The sequence below is a fragment of the Homo sapiens genome, chromosome 8 (genome assembly GCF_000001405.40).
Source record: "Homo sapiens chromosome 8, GRCh38.p14 Primary Assembly".
Classification (NCBI taxonomy): Eukaryota; Metazoa; Chordata; class Mammalia; order Primates; family Hominidae; genus Homo; species Homo sapiens.
Genome location: NC_000008.11, coordinates 116086659 through 116105762, shown reverse-complemented (window position 1 = coordinate 116105762; position 19104 = coordinate 116086659). Strand labels below are relative to the sequence as shown.

General features: G+C 38.0%; 1 long non-coding RNA gene across 1 annotated transcript in view, besides 2 other annotated features; it reads left to right on the top strand.

Moving 5' to 3' along the window:
* Positions 1–19104, top strand: part of LINC00536 (long intergenic non-protein coding RNA 536) — a 374549-nt gene that overhangs the window by 219297 nt on the left and 136148 nt on the right. The window lies entirely within an intron of this gene.
* Positions 8833–9421: an enhancer, noted in NCBI's record as "NANOG hESC enhancer chr8:117108567-117109155 (GRCh37/hg19 assembly coordinates)". NCBI's record gives its function as "activates a minimal SCP1, AML or CMV promoter by ChIP-STARR-seq in naive H9 embryonic stem cells {active_cell/tissue: H9 hESC(naive)}" and the evidence as "EXISTENCE:reporter gene assay evidence [ECO:0000049][PMID:30033119]".
* Positions 16104–16681: an enhancer, noted in NCBI's record as "OCT4-NANOG hESC enhancer chr8:117101307-117101884 (GRCh37/hg19 assembly coordinates)". NCBI's record gives its function as "activates a minimal SCP1, AML or CMV promoter by ChIP-STARR-seq in primed H9 embryonic stem cells {active_cell/tissue: H9 hESC(primed)}" and the evidence as "EXISTENCE:reporter gene assay evidence [ECO:0000049][PMID:30033119]".

Sequence of the window (19104 nt, the reverse complement as noted above, 5' to 3'; positions counted from 1 at the left end):
AACCAATAACTGTCCTGCTCATCCTGTGTCTCACTCAGTGGCTGGCATAAATGATATATTCAATAAATATTTACTGAGTGAATGATTAGGTCAGTAGTCTTTCTGCTCTATGATACTATTTCTGTGTCAAATATAAGAACTGATGCCAGGCATGGTAGCTCACACCTGTAATCCCAGCACTCTGGGAGGCCAAGGCAGGCAGATCACCTGAGGTCAGGCATTCAAGACCAGCCTGGCCAACATGGCGAAACCCCATCTCTACTAAAAGTACAAAAATTAGCCTTGCATGGTGGCACACGTCTGTAATCCCAGCTACTCGGGAGGCCGAGGCAGGAGAATCGCTTGAACCTGGGAGGTGGAGGTTGCAGTGAGCCAAGATCGTGCCACTGCACTCCAGCCTGGTGACAGAGCGAGACTCTGTCTTAAAAAAAAAAAAAAAACAAAAAAAAAAACAACAAAACAAAAACAGAACTGAGGCAAAATTCCTAGCACACTTCAATGATCAGCTGAAGATGAAAGCCAGGATTCATCAATTTATTTCACAGGCTATTTTAAGACCTTATCATATTAATTTTTATATCTAGGATATTTTGAGATGCTACCTTTTTCTGTATCTTTTTGAGACACATAAAGGACTGAGTTAGACCCGGGAAGAACAAAAGAAATCTCTGTTTATTTTGTAGGTTTATAAATTTGTCATTAAAACCATTTTAGGGCATGTAAAATTTAAAATTTAATTAAGTATAATACACAAAAGCCAGTATTGAGTGGTGATAATTTTTTAAAAGCAAGAGCTTTTAAAAACTCAGTGCAGTAAATAAAACTTTGATAAAAATTTCCTTTGATAAAGAACTTCTAGAAGCTGAAATGACAAAAAAATTTAAGTGCTATGAAAACAATAAAATTTTAAGCTTTGATTGCTGTGTCAAAAATAACACTGACTTCTAGAATAGGAGGGACTTTGGCAGATTGGTTGATTGGTGCATATGTGCTGGTGACCGGGGAGGACCATTCTAGCCAAGGAGCTCAGGATACAGACATTTGAGGAGATGAATGTTTGAACTGAATTGCAAATTATAAAAGGGCCCAGCCTTGTGAAGCTCTTTTGGGAGTTTTCCAGGTGGAAAGAAAGGCTTAAAGGCCTCAGTTCTCAAGCAAACCTGAAGTCTTCAAGAGACAGAAAGGTTAGTGTACCTAGATCCTAGAGAACAAGAGTGGTATTAGATGAGCTCCAAGAAGTAGGCAAAATTCAGATCATTCAAGGTCTTGCAGGCGGTCCTCAGGAGTTTGAATTTCCAAGGGCAATGGCAGCAGAAAAGTGGCTCCATCTTCTTGCTAATCCAAAATAAAAGGAGAGCAGAATCAATGCAGTGGGCAGAGCTGGACTTCGCACAGGCGTGGTGGATAAACACCTTTTGGATTTTTGCTGGTATCATTTGAGGTCCCCAAGTCAAATATTTCCACAAAAATAATTAAAACATGAACTACCAATTACTTCTGGGTCTATAATTCTTGGAGCACCTTTATGGGCACACTCTCCTTAATTTCTTAATTTTGGCAAATTGATATTAATTTTATCCCTGACTTATAACTGAGGAAAGCAAGAGAAAAATTGAGGGATTTATACTGGATTCACTAATTTATTCAGCATCTATTTATTGAGCACTTACTAAGTGGCACTGGAACAATTGGAAGCAAAATAATATAACTTCTGCCCACGGAGAACTTTCATTCTAGTAGGGAAAACGACAATAAGCAAATATGCATACATAGTGAAACGTCATATAGTGGTACACACTCAGGGAAGAATAAGGCAGGGTAAAAGGAGAGAAAGTGGTCAGAGGAGGAGCTATTTAGACAGAGTGGTTCAGTAAGGCTTTTTTGACAAGATGATCTCTGAAAAGTCATTTGAAAGAAGGAAGGTTGGAGAAGGAAGAAGGAAATCATATAAATATCTAGAATCTGAAACCAACTCTTTAAAACCTAAACCCAATGCTTTTGGCAAAAAATTATCTTCTGGCTATTGAGGTCAAAAATCTCACCAAAGGGGTTGCAAAACTTTATAGTTACAAATTCAGTTGGTAAAAATATAACATCTTTCTCTTGAGTCTCTAATTCCAGTTCAAGATAATTTAATTACTTCTGATTTCATTCAGTCACTTTAAGGTTAACCCAGTGTTTCAGAGGCAAGTAGCTTTACAGAGTGTTGCTCTCCTCTTCTTTTCTTTCCCTTTCCCCAGATAACATCAGGTTCTGGCAAAGCTAAGATACAACATGGCACCAGAGGCACACAGCATCCTCTGGTTCTCCGTATTCTCTGCTGATTCGATGTTGAAGGTCTGGCTTTGTCCTTGCTGTGTTTGCTGCTGATGGCACAAGTCTGTTCTCTTGGCATGAGCAAGACAGGGAGATTGCTCCTTGGGAGTCAAGTCACTCTTTCTGCTGATCACACCGATCCTGCAGACCTTGTGAAGTTCATTTGTGACTTCTGTCTCATCTCAGTCTGGAGTTTTCCACTCTGCAGTCCTCTGCTACAGAGTGACTTGGCCTCTTGTGCCCTGGGGAGCTCCCAGCCAGCATCCTGAGCTCCCATCAACTTCCTCACGGGGGCATGAAGAGCTTTTTGGCTCCTCAATGCCATATTATAGCTGAGGAAGACTCACCCCTGGAAATGGGCCAGGCTGGAAGTCTCTCTCTTGATCCTCAGCTTTCTTCCTTCCAAATGTACCAAGGCGTCTTTTTTCTTTCTTTCTTTCTTTCTTTTTTTCGGTAAGTAAGTGAGAAATTGCTGTTAATATTACATCAGGCTATCTTGATTTTTGTCCTGTTTTGTTTTGAAATGCTCAGAGGAGACGAAACAAGTGTTCTTCATTTAGGAGGGCTGAACTTGAGAGACAAACAGTTTTGCTTTGAACTCCAACAAAGATTTGACATGGACAATAAATAGCCAAAGCCTGGAGGACCTGGGCCACAGAATGAACCATGGGGAAGGGTGCTGTCGACCTGTTAAACAGGAATCATTGTCAGAGTGTCATTTGAGAGTTTCAAGGAGGAGACTGTGAGTGGGAATGTTTCTTTAAAGGAAGGGGAAGCCATTCGTTTTGGGCACCCATCCCTCTTGATGGAAGAGGAAACCGGAGCATCATAAATCAGTGTGGATAGAAGGATTAAACAGTGATGTAGAAATCCCATAAGTAGATAGGATGATATTTTTTTAAATACAACATGGTAGACACACCTGTTTATATTGGCCTTTAATAAATCTGGCCTTTGTTTTCTGGGGCAGATTTTGGGAGGGTGCTTATCATGACTTGACAATGAGTAAAGGGTTAGGAAGAAGAAATGTAATTAAAGGGTTTAGGTATCACTTTAAGATGTAAGTGAATGAAATATAGGTGGCACTTATTTTTCTCGGTGAAGTATGCATTTCATAAAATGTAAGCAATAAAATGATAGATATTAATGGACACAGTGCAAAATTTTGGGCCTTATCAATAAAATATCTTGTTAAGTATGCTAGCTTACTTTTAAACACTTGGTTAAACAATCATTAACAGACTGTTGACAAATAAAACTTACTCTCCAAAAAGCATTAACAGGTAATTATGTAAAAGGCCACAAGATTAGTGATGTGAACAACTAGGTCCTTCCTGTTTTATGACTTGTTTCTCCAGCAGAAACCCCAATGTAAAGTTTTGAGTTTCAAAGTACTTAAGCATATAATTAATAAATAAACACTTGATTTTTTTACTTATAGCAAGTGAACTCAGTCCACGGTAGTAGTGTAACATGATGGGGGGAAATCATAAAGATTATAATTGTCCCCTTTCTTTTGGTTCAGAAGAGGGTGAGTTGAGGGAGATAAAGGAAGAGGGAGGGGAGAGAAAGAGAGAGGAGAGAGAGAGAGAAAGGAGAGAGAGAGAAGAGAGATTGTCTTTGTTTACTGGATTAATAGATGTTGGTAGATACATATTAGAAAATTCTCAAAAGAGGAAAATCTTCCTATTTAACAAAATGGTGGAGCATCCTGTAGTGAGTCTGGAAAGACATGAGGAGGAAATGAGCCGGAGAAAACTGGCTGTAAAGGAAAGAGGGAAAAGCTTGGCTAGAGGAGACTGAGAGCAGAAAGGAAAAGAGAGAATGAGAGAGGCACGTTATTCCTGTGGATTAAATTGTGACTACCTTTTATTCTCTACTTTGTCTCTAAGAAGTGTAATATAGCCAGTAAGAGCAAGGCTGATCTACATTAAAAATTTAGGTTTTACTTAACCTCTCTAGGGCTCAATTTTTACATTAATAAAATGTTGTTTAATAATTGTACCTAAGTCATACAGTTATTTAGAAAACTAAATGAGTTAATAGATGGAAAGCACTTGAACAAGCCTGGCATATGGAAACCACTGAATAAGTTTTAGTCTAAATTAATATAATTACTTTATTTTTATTGTTGTTTCCTCTGCCAAAACAAGAGAGAGAGAGAAGAAAATCAATACATTCTCAGAAAGGATTTGAGAAACAAATTCACATTGAGATATTAACTACTAAATATTTTTAGTGGATTAGCATGTAACTAGAACCAATAACATAAGCCAAATTACTCCTTCTCCAGTGAAGTCTGTCAATTTTGTTTTCAAGGGGATGGCTCCTGAACTCCCCACAGTCAACTACTGGGGTTGTCTTGCTTTAAGTCCAATCCTTCCGTAACTTAAATGAAAATTCGGTCTTTCAGCTTTTTTACTTTTTACTTCGAACTGATTATAGATTCTCAGGAAATTACAAAATATGTACAGGGAGATTGTCTATCCCTTCATTCAGTTCTCCCTAATGGTAACATCATGTATAACTATAGAATGGTATCCAAACTAAAAAAATTGACATTGGTAGAGTTTATAGCACTTATTCATATTTCATCAGTTTTTCTTATACTTGTGTGTGTGTATGTGGTGTCTGTGTGTCTATAGTTCAGTTCAACTTTATCAAGTAGATTCTTACAATCACTACCACAATTAAGATACAAAACTGTAGCCACTCCCACCCTTTTTATCGCCTAACCCCTAATCCTTGACAACCACTAATCTGTTCTCCATCTCTATAATTTTGTTATTTCAAATATGTTATATAATTAGAAGCATATAATATGTAAGCTTTTGAAATTGAGTTTTTTCACTTACTGTAGTTCCCTCAAGATCTATCCAAGTTGTTGAATATATTGCTAATTTATTCCTTTGTATGCCTGAGTAATATTCCATGGTATGATTGTACCACAATTTGCTTATCTCTTTAGCATCTGAAGGATATTTGAGTTGCTTCCAGTTTGGGACTATTATGAATAAAGGTGCTGTGAACATTTGCATACAGGTTTTTGTGTGAACATAAATCTTCATTTCCCTGGGATAAATGCTTAAGGGTGCAACTATGGTAGTTGTATGTTTAGTTTTGTAAGACACTGTCATACTCTTTCCCAAACTGGCTGTACCAGTTTTCATTTCCAACAGCAACGTGTAGTGATTCAGTTTTACAGCACTCTCACTAGCATTTGTTGGTATTGATCACTATCTTTTATTTTAGCCATTTAAAAAATGTGTGGTCATAGTCATCATGCTTTTAATTTGCACTTCCCCGGTGGTTAGTACATTAAATATATTCTCATGTACTTATTTGTCATCCATATATCTTTTTCAGTGAATGTGTTTTCATGTTTTGTTTTCCTATTTTCTAATTGGACTTTTTGTTTACTGTTGGGTTTAAGAGTTCTTTATATATTTTACTTATGGCTGGGCATGGTGGCTCACACCTGTAATCCCAGCACTTTGGGAGGCCTAGGCAGGTGGATCACGAGGTCAAAAGATCGAGACCATCCTGGCCAACATGGTGAAACCTCATCTCTACTAAAAATACAAAAATTAATTGGGCATGGTGGCATGCACCTGTAGTCCCAGCTACTCAGGAGGCTGAGGCAGGGGAATCTCTTGAACCCGGCAGTGGAGTTTGCAGTGAGCCAAGATTGCACCATTGCACTCCAGCCTGACAACAGAGCAAGACTCCATCTCACTCTCTCTCTCTCTCTCTCTCTCTATATATATATATATATATATTCTACTCACTAGTCCTTTGTCAAGTATCTGTCTTGTAAATATCTTCTCTCAATTGGTAGCTTCCATTTATTACCTCACAGTTTTTTTGCAGAACAAAATATTTTAATTTTGTTGAGGTACAAATGTTCAATTTTTCCTTTTGTGGATTATACTTTTGATATCAAGTCCAAAATCTCATTATCTAGCCATAAGTCCAAAAAGTTTATTGCTATGTGTGATTTTTTTTCTGAGAGTTCTATACATTTACATATAAGTCCACAATCTATTTTGAGTTCATTCTTGTGTAGGCATAAGATTTAGATTAAAGTTCTTGGGTTTCGGGTTTTTTTTGTTGTTGTTTTTTTTTTGCTTATGAATATCTATTTTTTCCAACAGCATTGTTGAAAAGGCTGTCTTTTTTCTTCTGAGGCTGGGCCTTGCTCTCTTGCCTAGGCTGGCATGCAGAGGCACGATGACAGCTCACTGCAACCTCAACCTCCTGGGCTCAAGTGATCCTCCCACCTCACCCTCCTGTGGAGACTACAGGCATGTTCTACCACACCTGGCTAATTTTTCCTTTTGGGGGTGGGGGTAGAGATGGAGTCTCACAATGTTGCCCAGTTGGGGCTGCCTTCTTTCATTGACTAATATTGATAACCTTGTCAAAAATAAGTTGGTCATACATAGATTTATTTCTGGGTTTCATTCTTCACTGTATCTATCCCTCTACCACATTGTCTTGTTTACTGCAGCTATATAGGAAGAATTTACCTCAGGGAAGGTGATTTCTTCCATCTTATTCTTGTTTCTCAAAATTGTTTTAGCTATCCTAGATCTTTTACATTTCATATTAATTTTAGAATTAATTTGCAAATGTCTACAACACCCTCACTTGAATTACTGTTTTGAAGCCATACATAAACCAATGGCAGACTAAGTACTTTGTTTAAAATCACATAGATAGCAAGAGGCAAAATTGGTATTTGTACTTAGTCTGATCCAGAACTCATGCTATGAATAACTGCCTCTCCATATGATATTGTTCCCAAAGACCAAGTTTATGACAAGTGCCTCTACTGTAGAGTTAGACACTGTGTGCAGGATAGTGGAAGGTTGGAGCTGGGTGAGAACTTATTCTAAATTTGGATGCTAATATTGACTAAATGTGACTAAATGTTATACTTCGGGACACTTTTTATCCATTCAAAATTTGCCTTTAAGTGATGACCACTGAATGGTGTGAAATTAAAAGAAACATAATGGTCAGCCATGTCTTGTTTTTAGGATGGATTTGAGCTGTAAGTCATGCTTGTTAATAAGTGGCTTACAATGTATGTCTTAGTCCATTTTGTGCTGCTGTAACAGAGTACCAGAGACTGAGTAATTTATAAACAACAGAAGTTTATTTGGCTCATAGTGCTGGAGACTGGGAAGTCCAAGACAGAGGGGAGGCATCTAGTGAGGGAGTTCTTGCTGTGCCTTCTCGTGGCAGATGGCAGAAGGGCAAGACAGCATACCCATGCAAGACAGAGAAAAGGGACAAAATGCATCTTTTTTTTTATTAGGAATCTACTCTTGTGATAACTAGCCCACTCTTGCAGTAGCAGCTTTAATCTATTCATATGGCACAGCCCTCATGATCTAATCACCTCTTAAAGATACAACCTCTCAATTCTGTTATATTGGGGATTAAGCTTCCAACACATGAACTTTGGGAGACACATTCAAACCATAGCAATGTCTTAGAGGAAAATGTCTATATATCATGAGTCAAATGCTCTATCACTAAGTATATTACCATCAAAGCTGAAGAACTTGTTTTCCTGTAAATATTTAATTTTAGATTAAAATTAAAGCTAATTCCTCTAAACGTTTCTTTCAATGATGTGCTGGGCAGAAATTTCTGTGAGTTTAATAATGTAGCTTGTAGTAGAGGGTGTTGGTGATAGTTTGAAGTCTAAAGCACTTGTTTCAGGATAGCAGCAGCACTTGTTTCTACCTAGCAGCTTCAGGGATTTCTAATTGAAGAATTAAATACTCACTATCCATTTCATTGCATTAAGTGAAACAGACACTAGAACAGAAGCAAGCAGCAGTGCGTGTACTTGGCAAAGATGGTATGTGTATGTATTTGAAAATAATCCAGCAGTTAGAACCTTTTGCAGTTTGTACTTTTGCCCACTGTTGTAAATACAGTAGAGCATGCTGTCAATGTTTTATAAAATGCAAATCTATGAATGTTTTTTATCTGCAGTAATTTAGCTTGGGCATAGAAATCAAACAGGGTAGTTAGATTGCCTCAAGCTAGTGGTGAACCTCTGTAAGCTACATTTTTCCTTCCCATATTAGCATGTTTTGATTCTGAATTGACTCCTAATAATGTTTTGTGTCTGCTGTGTGACTCTTGCTTTGAGCCTGTGTTAGGATAAGGCTAGGTGGAATAACAAATAAACACCCAAATCTTGATGATTTAATATCATCATATGCATTTCTCACTCATGTAAGTATTCCAGAGCATGTGTTCCTGGTGGGGCAGCTTTCCCTAAGCAATGATTCAAACACCCAGCATCCTTTCTTCTTCTTGTTCTGCCATTTGAAACACATGGCTCTTGAGATTACCCTAGGATTATCTTCATGGCAGAAAGCCAGAAGGAGAAGAGAGCATAGAGAAGTTCTTGTGGTAGAGCCAAGCCTGACAAGGGACAACCTCACTTCTCCCTGTATTTTTTTTAAGATACGCTAGTCACACGTGCATAGAAAACTGTAAAGGAGACAAGATAATATAATAAATATATATGCTGGGTAAGAGCAAGAGTTGGGTTTGGGGGATAAATGTTCAGACTCTACAACAGAGTCAAGGATGCTTAAACCTCCCAGGCACCAAGATCTTACACCTTGTCCACTAATGTTCTTTGCTCCATGATTGGTATAGTAGTTAGTTTATAAAAAAAGAAAAGATGTGAGAGTGGGTACATACATTGCTGGAAAATTCAGTAACCCCCTGTTTCTTTCATGTGTTAAATCTGTTTGTTGTTCACAATCAGTAAACAATAGAACAGATCACTTTGTTGAAGCTCTGCATTGTTTCAGGCCAGTAGAATTCTGAGAGCAAATCTTCCCACTTTCTACACTGACAAAACATCTACAAGATCCACTCTGGAAGGGATTAGGAGCACACAGGGAGGTAATTTCAAGAGTAAGAGGTTATAGAATAATTACATGCATTAAAAATAATTTATAATAGGTCAGAAATTTTGACAATAGGGCAATTCTGTAATACTTGATGACAATTAGTCATACATTTTATTGTGTTAGCAAAGAAATAAAGATAAACATATGGTATTTTGTTTAACTTATGATCAATATAGCTTGTAGAAATAATTAACAAAATAAAACTGACAATAGTTACAACTTCTCACTGTAAAATTTTCTGTTAACTAAAAATTGACTGACAACTCTTGTTGACAAAATACAGATCTGCAAAATTTGGCCTTGAAAATAATTGACTTCATCAAAATAATAGTCACCAAGCTAATTTTAAAACAGCTAAATATATCACCAGAAACATTGAATTCCAATAAAATAAATTATTTTAAATTTAAAACTTCTTGATAAAAGTAACATAGTAAATTGCATTAACCCTTGTGGTGTTAATTTCAGTTGAATCAATTGTAAAAGAAAAGTACAATGTATAAAAAACCATTAAGAAATTAAATTTTGGCTTACTATGGTTTATAGCGGAAAATATTTTCCTGATAAAATTTCATCCATGATGTTATAATTTTGATTTGAAAATATACATTCATAAATGCAGTGTTGGAATATCATGAGGTTAAAATATTGGTATCAAAATCTCCTGGGTTGTTTTTGTCTGCAAAAAGGAGTAATGTATTAGGTTGGCGCAAAAAATGGCAAAAACTGCAATTACTTTTGCGCCAACTTAATAATTTTGTTTTCATCACAGAGTTTTTAGGAAGTGTTTTTTAAACTTTAATGTACATAAAGTCATGGGGAGGCTTGTAATTTTTTTGGGGGGCAGAACATTTTCATTTCCAACAGTTTCCAGGTGATGCTGATACTGCTGGTATGGGAACACACTTTGCATACTCTCTATACCATTTTTTGGCATACTAATCTTTGAGGTGCTTTTTCTTCCAATAGCCAACACCTACAGCTCTTTGAGACGACTGGCCTCAGGTTGCAGCACTCTGGCTTACCTTTTCACATAGAGATCTAAGGTGCCTGGTAATTTATATCTCCCCACCCTAACCCCTTAACATAGCCCTTAACCAATGGGCTGCAGATGTCAGGGTATAAATACTACAAATCCTGAGCAAGACTACAGTGAACTGTGCTTACACTATTTCCGATGTTCCCTGTGAGATAGAATCAAAATTAGTTTTACTGAACACTTGGCAAGAGATGTTTGAGTAGAGTGTTGAGAACAAAAGCTTGTCTGGAGTAAGTTTGAGAGAGTTTGGGAGGTGAAAAAATGAGAAGCTGTCATGGACAACTCACGCAGGACATTTGGCTATAAAAGGGAGGAGAGAAACCAAGCAGTGCTTGGTGGGGGAAATGGAGTGAAATAGTTATTTTTTGAAAGGTAAGAGATATATATATAGCATGTTTGTATGTTGCCAGGATTTAGTAAAGAGAGATAATATAAGGATAGAAAGACAGGATGTAAACTCAGAGCAATGATGTCCTTGAGTACACGAGAGGGAAATGGAGTAGATACACAGGTAGAGAGGTAGCTTTATATAGAAGAATCAGTATTTCATCTATTAACCATAAAATGCTTTGAGACAATCTAGAAGTCTTTTTTCTCTCACCTCTCATATTGTATTAGCTCCTATATTCTGCCAATTCTCTCTTCTTAATATTTTTTGAAACTGCCTGCCCTTTCTTTACACTCCCACTGTCATAGCCTTAGTTCAGACACTCATAATCCTCACCTAGATTTTTGCAGTGACATCCCACATGGTCTTGTTTCCAGTCTTACTTGGAGTATGTTCGAGAGAGATTGGGTGGTGAAAAAATAGGAGGCTGTCATGGACAACTCACTTGGAGTATCCTCACCAATCCATTCTCCCATTCTCCATGTCACTAGACATCTTTGTTAGATGCATGTCTTAGTATCTCACTTTCCTGTTCAAAATCCTTCATTTGGTCTCCAACTGAATGAAAATTTTAGTTTATTGGCTCCAAACACAAAGCCTTTCACGGTCTATTTACTGATTATGTGCCCGGTTTCTTCTCTCACCACTCATCCTGCTACCCTTTGCAATCATGTAACTATGAGCCTCAAGTAGTTCCTCTAAATGTACCACACAATCACATACCTCTGTCTTCACATTTTTGTTCCTTTTTCTCAAAACACTCTTCTTCCACATGCCTGTCTGGACAATCTTTGTTTACCTTTCATACCTCAGCTCACAGGCATTATTCTTCCTGTTAGTCAAGTGAATGAATTATGCTTGAATGTGTAATTATGCTTGAATGTGTTGATTATAGCAACCAGTCTAAATTCTCAATTTTCTCTGGTCAAACACATTTTCCAATTCGAGATTTGAAAAATTTGTCCCAGAGAGTGGTAGATGGTTAGTTCATACTGAAGTGTGAATCAGACTTCACCTTACCAGGGATCATTTACATTTTTCTCAAAGGAGTTTGAAAAGTAAGCACAAAACTGTGCTGAGGAGTGCTCACTTTTTGAAAGTTTCTGCCAAGCGATAAAATCCATGTATTCAAGAGGTCTTGGAAAGACATCTCTTGCCTTTACAAGTCTGCCTGCAACCCACTTTCTTAGGGGAAGAGAGCATGATCACTAGAGGGAATAGGTATTGGATAATGCTCCCAAACCTTTGGAATTGAGAGTACAAGGGAAGGTGGAGACTTTGCTACAATTTATTGATTTATTTTGGCAAGTACTAAATAGGGAAAGTTGTACCTGTTCATACCAGCAGCTCTACAGAGTGAAATGTGAAAAGTGTCTAGAACAATAATTGCCACCACAAAACGGAAGTGCTATATTGCTTCAAGGAGCAAAGTCAGAATAACTCCTGAATTTTCATTCAACTGATGCTCAGAATCAGACTCCAATAAGGCTTTTGCTGGGGGCAGGAGGTGGGGGGTACCTAGAACTATTGTCCTACAGATGGGATACCAGTGGAGCTATAAAAGGAAAAAGCTGGAGTCCAGCCCCAGGGGGTAACTGAGAATCCAAGGAACATAAGAGAATGAAGAAAACAAGACGACAACAAGAAAGATGTTGGGGAAGCACCCAGACCATTACAAAACTTGCCAAGTGCCACCGAATGTGACAAATGTAATATGTGAGCTTGTAAATGTTACGGGGGGAAGCAGTTATGATATATCTGAAAGCCTTCATAATGGTACCTTTTGCCAAAGGCTAACATTTTTAGAAAGAGGTTATAAAGCAACCTCTTTAATGATTGTACTTTCTTGCAATTTCTTTGGGGAAGGGGGTTGTTTCTCCTTAAAGTTTTCAAGACTTTGGTTTTAGAGCGTATTTGCCTTTTAATGGTTTGCTGTGACTGCCTCTTTAAGAAATGTTTTTGCTGTTACTGCTCCATTTTAATCTTTCACTTTGTATTAACAAAATCAAAACCAGCACAATTAGATACCTCCTGATTTTGATTTGTTTTAATACTAAGAGAATGTTTGAAATGGCACAAGTGGTGGGGGAAATACTTCAAGCTGTGGTGGCTGCAACATTGGAGTTCTAGAGGCAAACATCAAAAGATAGCTTGAAAGACAGACCAAAAACATCTAAACCAATAATTCTTTACATTTGTGTTTTTTTTGTTTTGTTTTGTTTTATTGTAGTCTTCACAATGAAAGCAAGAAGATCATGTAGAGGGAAAAAGAGGCTTTTAAGTTCATTTCAATCATACAATTTAAAATGAAATCAAATGGACTTTGTCCTTGGCCTTGAAAATGGACAATCAAGCCACATATCTATAACTCAAAAAAATTACTTACTAGACTATACAGGCAACACTCAGTGCCCAACTGTCTCTTTTTGTTAGAATAAATGAAAAAGAAAATGAGCAAGACTCAGAAAACAGGATTATAATTAAGCTACATTGATCCAAAAACCCACCTTTTCTATTTATATACTGGACATCCTGAAAAAAGATTGAAAGGCTAGAAGCAAACTGAGGCGAGATCTGCAAGTAATAGTAATTTGGCCACAGAGGGCAATAAATGAAATGAATAAATGTGTCTTTGCAACATCACAGCAGTCAGAATCAGCAAGAAGTGGCTGCAATTGTTCACATGTGGACGGCAGTATCAGAATTATGAAACGGCTTGCAGGCATGGTGGTTCATGCCTGTAATCCTAGCATTTTGGGAGGCTGAAGCAGGAGGATCACCTGAGGTCAGGAGTTCGAGACCAGCCTGGCCAACATGGCAAAACCAGTCTCTACTAAAATACAAAAATTAGCCAGGCACGGTGGTGCACACCTGTAATTCCAGCTACTCAGGAGGCAAGAGCCAGAGGCTGCAGTGAGCTGAGATGAGATTGCGTCACTGCACTCCAACCTGGGTGACAGAGCAAGACTCTGTCTCAAAAAAAAAAAAAAATAGAATTATGAAACAGCTAAGGATGCATTGTTGAGTGTTGGAAATGTTACCTTTGTTCTTATTCCATTTCAAGTCCAGCAGCTAAATAGAAATTCTACTGTGTTACACAGCCCTAGTGCCTTCAAGGAGAATGCTCTTAGGGTGAAATCTGGGTGTCTCTGTTATATCTGATTTTCCTGTCACCATTCATTTAGATAGATTTTCATGTTACTGAAGCACAGTAAGAATTTGGTTTTCTGCAAGAGGCTCTTATGGTCCTTTTATTAAATAAATAAAGAACAGCCACTGGGCATGCTGGGAAATGTGTACATTCTGCTGTCTGCGGGATAAAATAGTGAACAGAAATGATGTATGAAACATCAGCCACCCCACTCTCCTTCTCTGTAGGGCATCTCAGTCCACCAGTCTGTCTCTCCTCTTACTCTCACCTTCAGAATTCCAGGGTGTGGGGTGGGTGAGTGGAGACAGAGAAAAGGGGAGATTAAAAGAACAAAGTGGCCCGGCGCGGTGGCTCACGCCTGTAATCCCAGCACTTTGGGAGGCCGAGGCGGGCGGATCACGAGGTCAGGAGATCGAGACCATCCCGGCTAAAACGGTGAAACCCCGTCTCTACTAAAAATACAAAAAATTAGCCGGGCGTAGTGGTGGGCGCCTGTAGTCCCAGCTACTTGGGAGGGTGAGGCAGGAGAATGGCGTGAACCCGGGAGGCGGAGCTTGCAGTGAGCCGAGATCCCGCCACTGCACTCCAGCCTGGGTGACAGAGCGAGACTCCGTCTCAAAAAAAAAAAAAAAGAACAAAGTGTATTAGGAGACATGTTGCCTTAGAGTCATTGGATTCACAGGACCCTGGAAGTAGTGTTCTATATTGAAGGGCACTTTCTTTTATACTGTATATACTGCAGACAGAGCCAAGAATTTCCCTGCCAGAGCTCCCTCCATCCCATTATTATGCAGAGGTATCCAACGAAAGGAAGCATCTGAATTTCTAGAGATCTAACAGGACAATCCTCCTCTACCCCAACTCAACCTAAACTCTTCATCCCCAGTTTATACTGTCTAACCAATATCTGAACATGGCAGACTTTATAATTTTTCTGTTTCATATTATTAAATCCAGAATCGTTTCATTTGAGTTTCATTAAAAGGCTGGAGTTAGCATTTCCTTTAAAAGGTTCCAGAATTGGCCAGTTTGAATGTCAAAACCTTTCTCTGGTTATCAAGCATTTAATCATGATAAATAAAGGCTCTGCTTTTAAGTCACTGCACCAGCATACTTCAGTGACACGCAGAAACTTCAAATAGCAGGGAAATAATCTTCCACGTCTACTGAAACAACATTTCCAAAAGAGAGGATGGGATTGCAGTCACTAGTGATAGCAGTAGTGGGAAAGCTGGAGAGAAAGAATAACTAACAATAAAAGTGTATGACAAGGAAGAAGGCTAGTTGTTTCTACAGAAGAAAAGACTAGCTAAAAATTTTCTAGACACAGAATTTCCAAAGGTTAAATTACTGTGACACCTTTTCTGTCCTGAAACTTTACGAATTTTCGTATATTGTTAAAGAGACTTTCTGCTGTTAGTCCTAGCCTGACCATATAGTTTAGGGGTGGGGCAGTGACCACATAGGAACACATCGGGAGTTTAAACCAATCATGCTATTAAAATAATTTCCTGAAAACGCACATGCGTCACCTTTCATACAGTGTATTTGTGAAAGTGGTTATTGTCAAGGAAAGCATTTGATTTCTAACCAGGCAAAGCAAGATGTGTAAAACTTAGCAGCCACAAAAAATTTCATAATGCTAAAGTTTCACAGGCTTGAAAGTTTAAATACTTCTAAATATCATGCAGTTTTCTTCTAAAATATTCCATCTTTTCAACTAGAGTGAAATATAGAGAAAGGCTTAAAACTCAGCATTAAATTATTATCCTACTATATATATATACCACACTATATATATACATTTTTTTCTATAGACCTCCTCTGTGAACAAATCCTATTATATACTTTCATTTAAATGTTGAATACTCTCATTTACAAGGTCTAGAAGAACAAAAGCTGCAATCACTTATTGGGTCTCTCTCTCTCTGTACATATATACACACCTTATTAAACAATTTTAGTAGGTAGACATTACTATGCTCATTTTACAGATAAGAAACTGAGTGAGATTTGCAAAGTTTGAGTAACTTGCTCAGCTTAAGTGATTCAGTATCCAAACTTGGATCTATCTCTGCTATTCTGCCAGAAGTGAACTTCTTAAAAAATAAGTTTCATTCCCTTTATGGCTAAGAGATTCACCTCGACGGATCCTTGAGAAAACTTTGCTTTTTCCCCCCCATTTGTCTTGATTTGCTTAGCCATGAAGAACTCAAATAGCAATGCCAAGAAAACAGTGTCTAGGTCATTTATTGGCAGCTATGGCTTTTGGTTTACTGCTTCCTGCTACTCACTCTTCAGCTACTCCAAAGACAGCCAGTGGGTTCTGGCTCTCACTCTACTTTCCCAGTTCCTCTGATGCTTTTGTAGCCCTGATTGAAACTAGCAGCTCCATGGTTACCAGGAAAAACAAACGAGCCCCAGAGCTTATACCAGCCCTGGGAGCACTTGCCGAACAGATTTTGAAAAGGAGTGAACTCAGTATAGCTGCAGAGTTCCATCTGGAAATTGGCACTGATGGTAACATTAGCAGCATGTCCTGCCTGTCTTTAGAAAGCCCAAGGATCCTGCAGTACCTGGCAAATATTCACTCACTCTGGACCCCTCTCAGAAACATGTGAGATGTATTGGTATTATGATGCTTATTTTACTGACGGAAACTCCCAAGCTCATGGAGAGAGGTTAACATGTGCAAATTTCCATTTGAGGGTCAGTCAACTACAGAGCCGAATTAGAAGGGCATTCTTTTTTCAAAAATCTGTCCAGTTAAAGAGAGCGTCTTATGGTTTCAAAACTCCGGGGTTGGCTTAAAAAAAATTTAAAGCCTCAACTAGAAGAACAAGGAAATATGAAAGCCTGTTTAGAATATTATATGAATAAAAATAGTAGTGTATTTGGAATAAAAAACACTAGTGTACCTTATTTTTCTTGAACATTATCATTCTTGTTAGCCTGAGGCACCTGGACACAAAACACATACTGTTGTGCAAAATCTTATGAGATTTCTTAAAGAGAGAATGATGAGTAATTAGATTACTGCGAATGTACAATTGGGAGTTAGATTTCTTTCTCTAGATATAGATCACTCATTTAGTCGAACAATCGGTAGTTAGATAGATAGCTAGAGATATGTTTCTAAGAATAAATAAGGAGTTTTGGAATACTGAGGGACCCAACAATCTATTGTCCAAGCATAATTTTATAAAGATTATTTTCATATTTCGGTGAGTATTTTATTAACTTTCTAGAGATGAGTTCGGGCTTTGAGATCCTGAGTTCTCCTGCACTCTGGAAAGTTCCCAGTGGCCTGGCAAGGGGTAGACAGAAAGACTAAATGACCTTATGACATTTTTGGGAACTTAATTTGCAGGACTAAGTTCTAAAAGATGTGGTGTAGGTGAGCAATAAATGTTATGCTTTTTGAGTGTTTACTGTGTTTAATAATAAATTGAATCAAATCTAATCAAATGTTAATAACTTTCCTTTTACCTCGCAATAAAATATTTGTATTTGTATATTTTTTCCAGGTTCAGCTGAAATTGTTTTCCTCTTCCTGTCATTAAGTTAGAGATCCCAAAATTGCAAGAAACTCTGCACGTAGTGGGGTGGTTGCTAAACCTTTTTCATTAAGCACTGCATCTTACAAATTTTTCAAGACTACATCCTTAACATATGAATATTTATTTATAATAAATAAATAATATATAGTTAGAACAATAGAAAAATTAAAGAAAGACAATGACAAATATTTTAAAATAAATTATATCTGATTTTGCTTATTAATAAAACATCATTAATGACAGTGGATGTCAATTTTCAATGGACAATTTCTTTTGCCACTGCCTTCTTATCAGCGTTTATTGTTTTATTGTTTTAATGTGTCAGACATGGAGCTCCTTGAAGGAACTGAGGGAGTACCAGCTCTGTCATTTTCTGGTTATCTTCTCGAACTTGTACTTTTTTTTTCTTTCTTTCTTTTTGAGACAGTGTCTTGCTCTTGTTGCCCAAGCTGGAGTACAATGGCGTGATCTCGGCTCACTGCAATCTCTGCCTCCTGGGTTCAAACAATTCTCCTGCTTCAGCCTTCTGAGTAGCTGGAATTACAGGCACCTGCCACCACTCCCAGCTAATTTTTTGTATTTTTAGTAGAGACAGGGTTTTGCCATGTTGACCAGGCTGGTCTCGAACTCCCGACCTCAGGTGATCCACCCGCCTCGGCCTCCCAAGAACTTGGGTACATTTTTAGTACCAAATCAATTCACAGTTTCTTTTGCAGAAGTTCTTTCAAGCCACTTGCTTATTTTGTAAGTTGTTTTTGAAGACAAAATGATGTCATTCACAAATCATCGTAGTACATACTGGGCAAAAAAGGGAGGCACCGCATCAACCTTTCCACACTGTGGACTTCCCATTCTGTCCCAGGAGACAAAGGACACCTTTTTCTGCATGGTAAGTGAGCAGCTGAAACAGATATGGAGTAGAAACATGGGCATCAATCCATACTTTAAATATTAGTATATTAGTAAAGCTAAATTCCTTTTTTAAAAAGGTTTTATATATATATATATATATCCGTATATTAATGTAAGTTCATATATTTTCATCCCACATCTCAATGGTTAATAACACATATGCTCATTCTGAATTGCAGACTTCCCACCCTACATTGGAGACCAATCCCTAAATGTAATAACAGTAATGACATCAGTAGTACTGCTTATAAAAATAATAACTACTGTTTAATGAGCACTTATTAAGTGCCATGCACTAAGTTAGGCAATTACATACAGTCAATTTTTACAATGTCCCCAGGCAGTGGTTTTATTTATTTATTTATTTTATTTTGAGATGGAGTCTCACTCTGTCACCCAGGCTGGAGTGCAGTGGTGCTATCTCAGCTCACTGCAACCTCCGCCTCTTGGGTTCAAGCAATTCTCCTGACTCAGCCTCCTAAGTAGCTGGGATTACAGGTGCCCACCACCATGCCCAACTAATTTTTTTTTGTATTTTTAGTAGAGACAGGGCTTCACCATGTTGGCCAAGCTGGTTTTGAACCCCTGACCTCAAGTGATCCACCTGCCTCGGCCTCCCAAAGTGCTAGGATTAGAGGCCTGAGCCACAGTGCCTGGCCTATGACTATATTTATAGAGGGGGAAACTGAGGCTTAAAAAGAAAAAAAAAATAGTCCCTGAGTGGTTGAGTAATTTATCCAAAGTCACATAATATTTGGTGGCAAAGCAGAACCAGGATATTCTGTGCC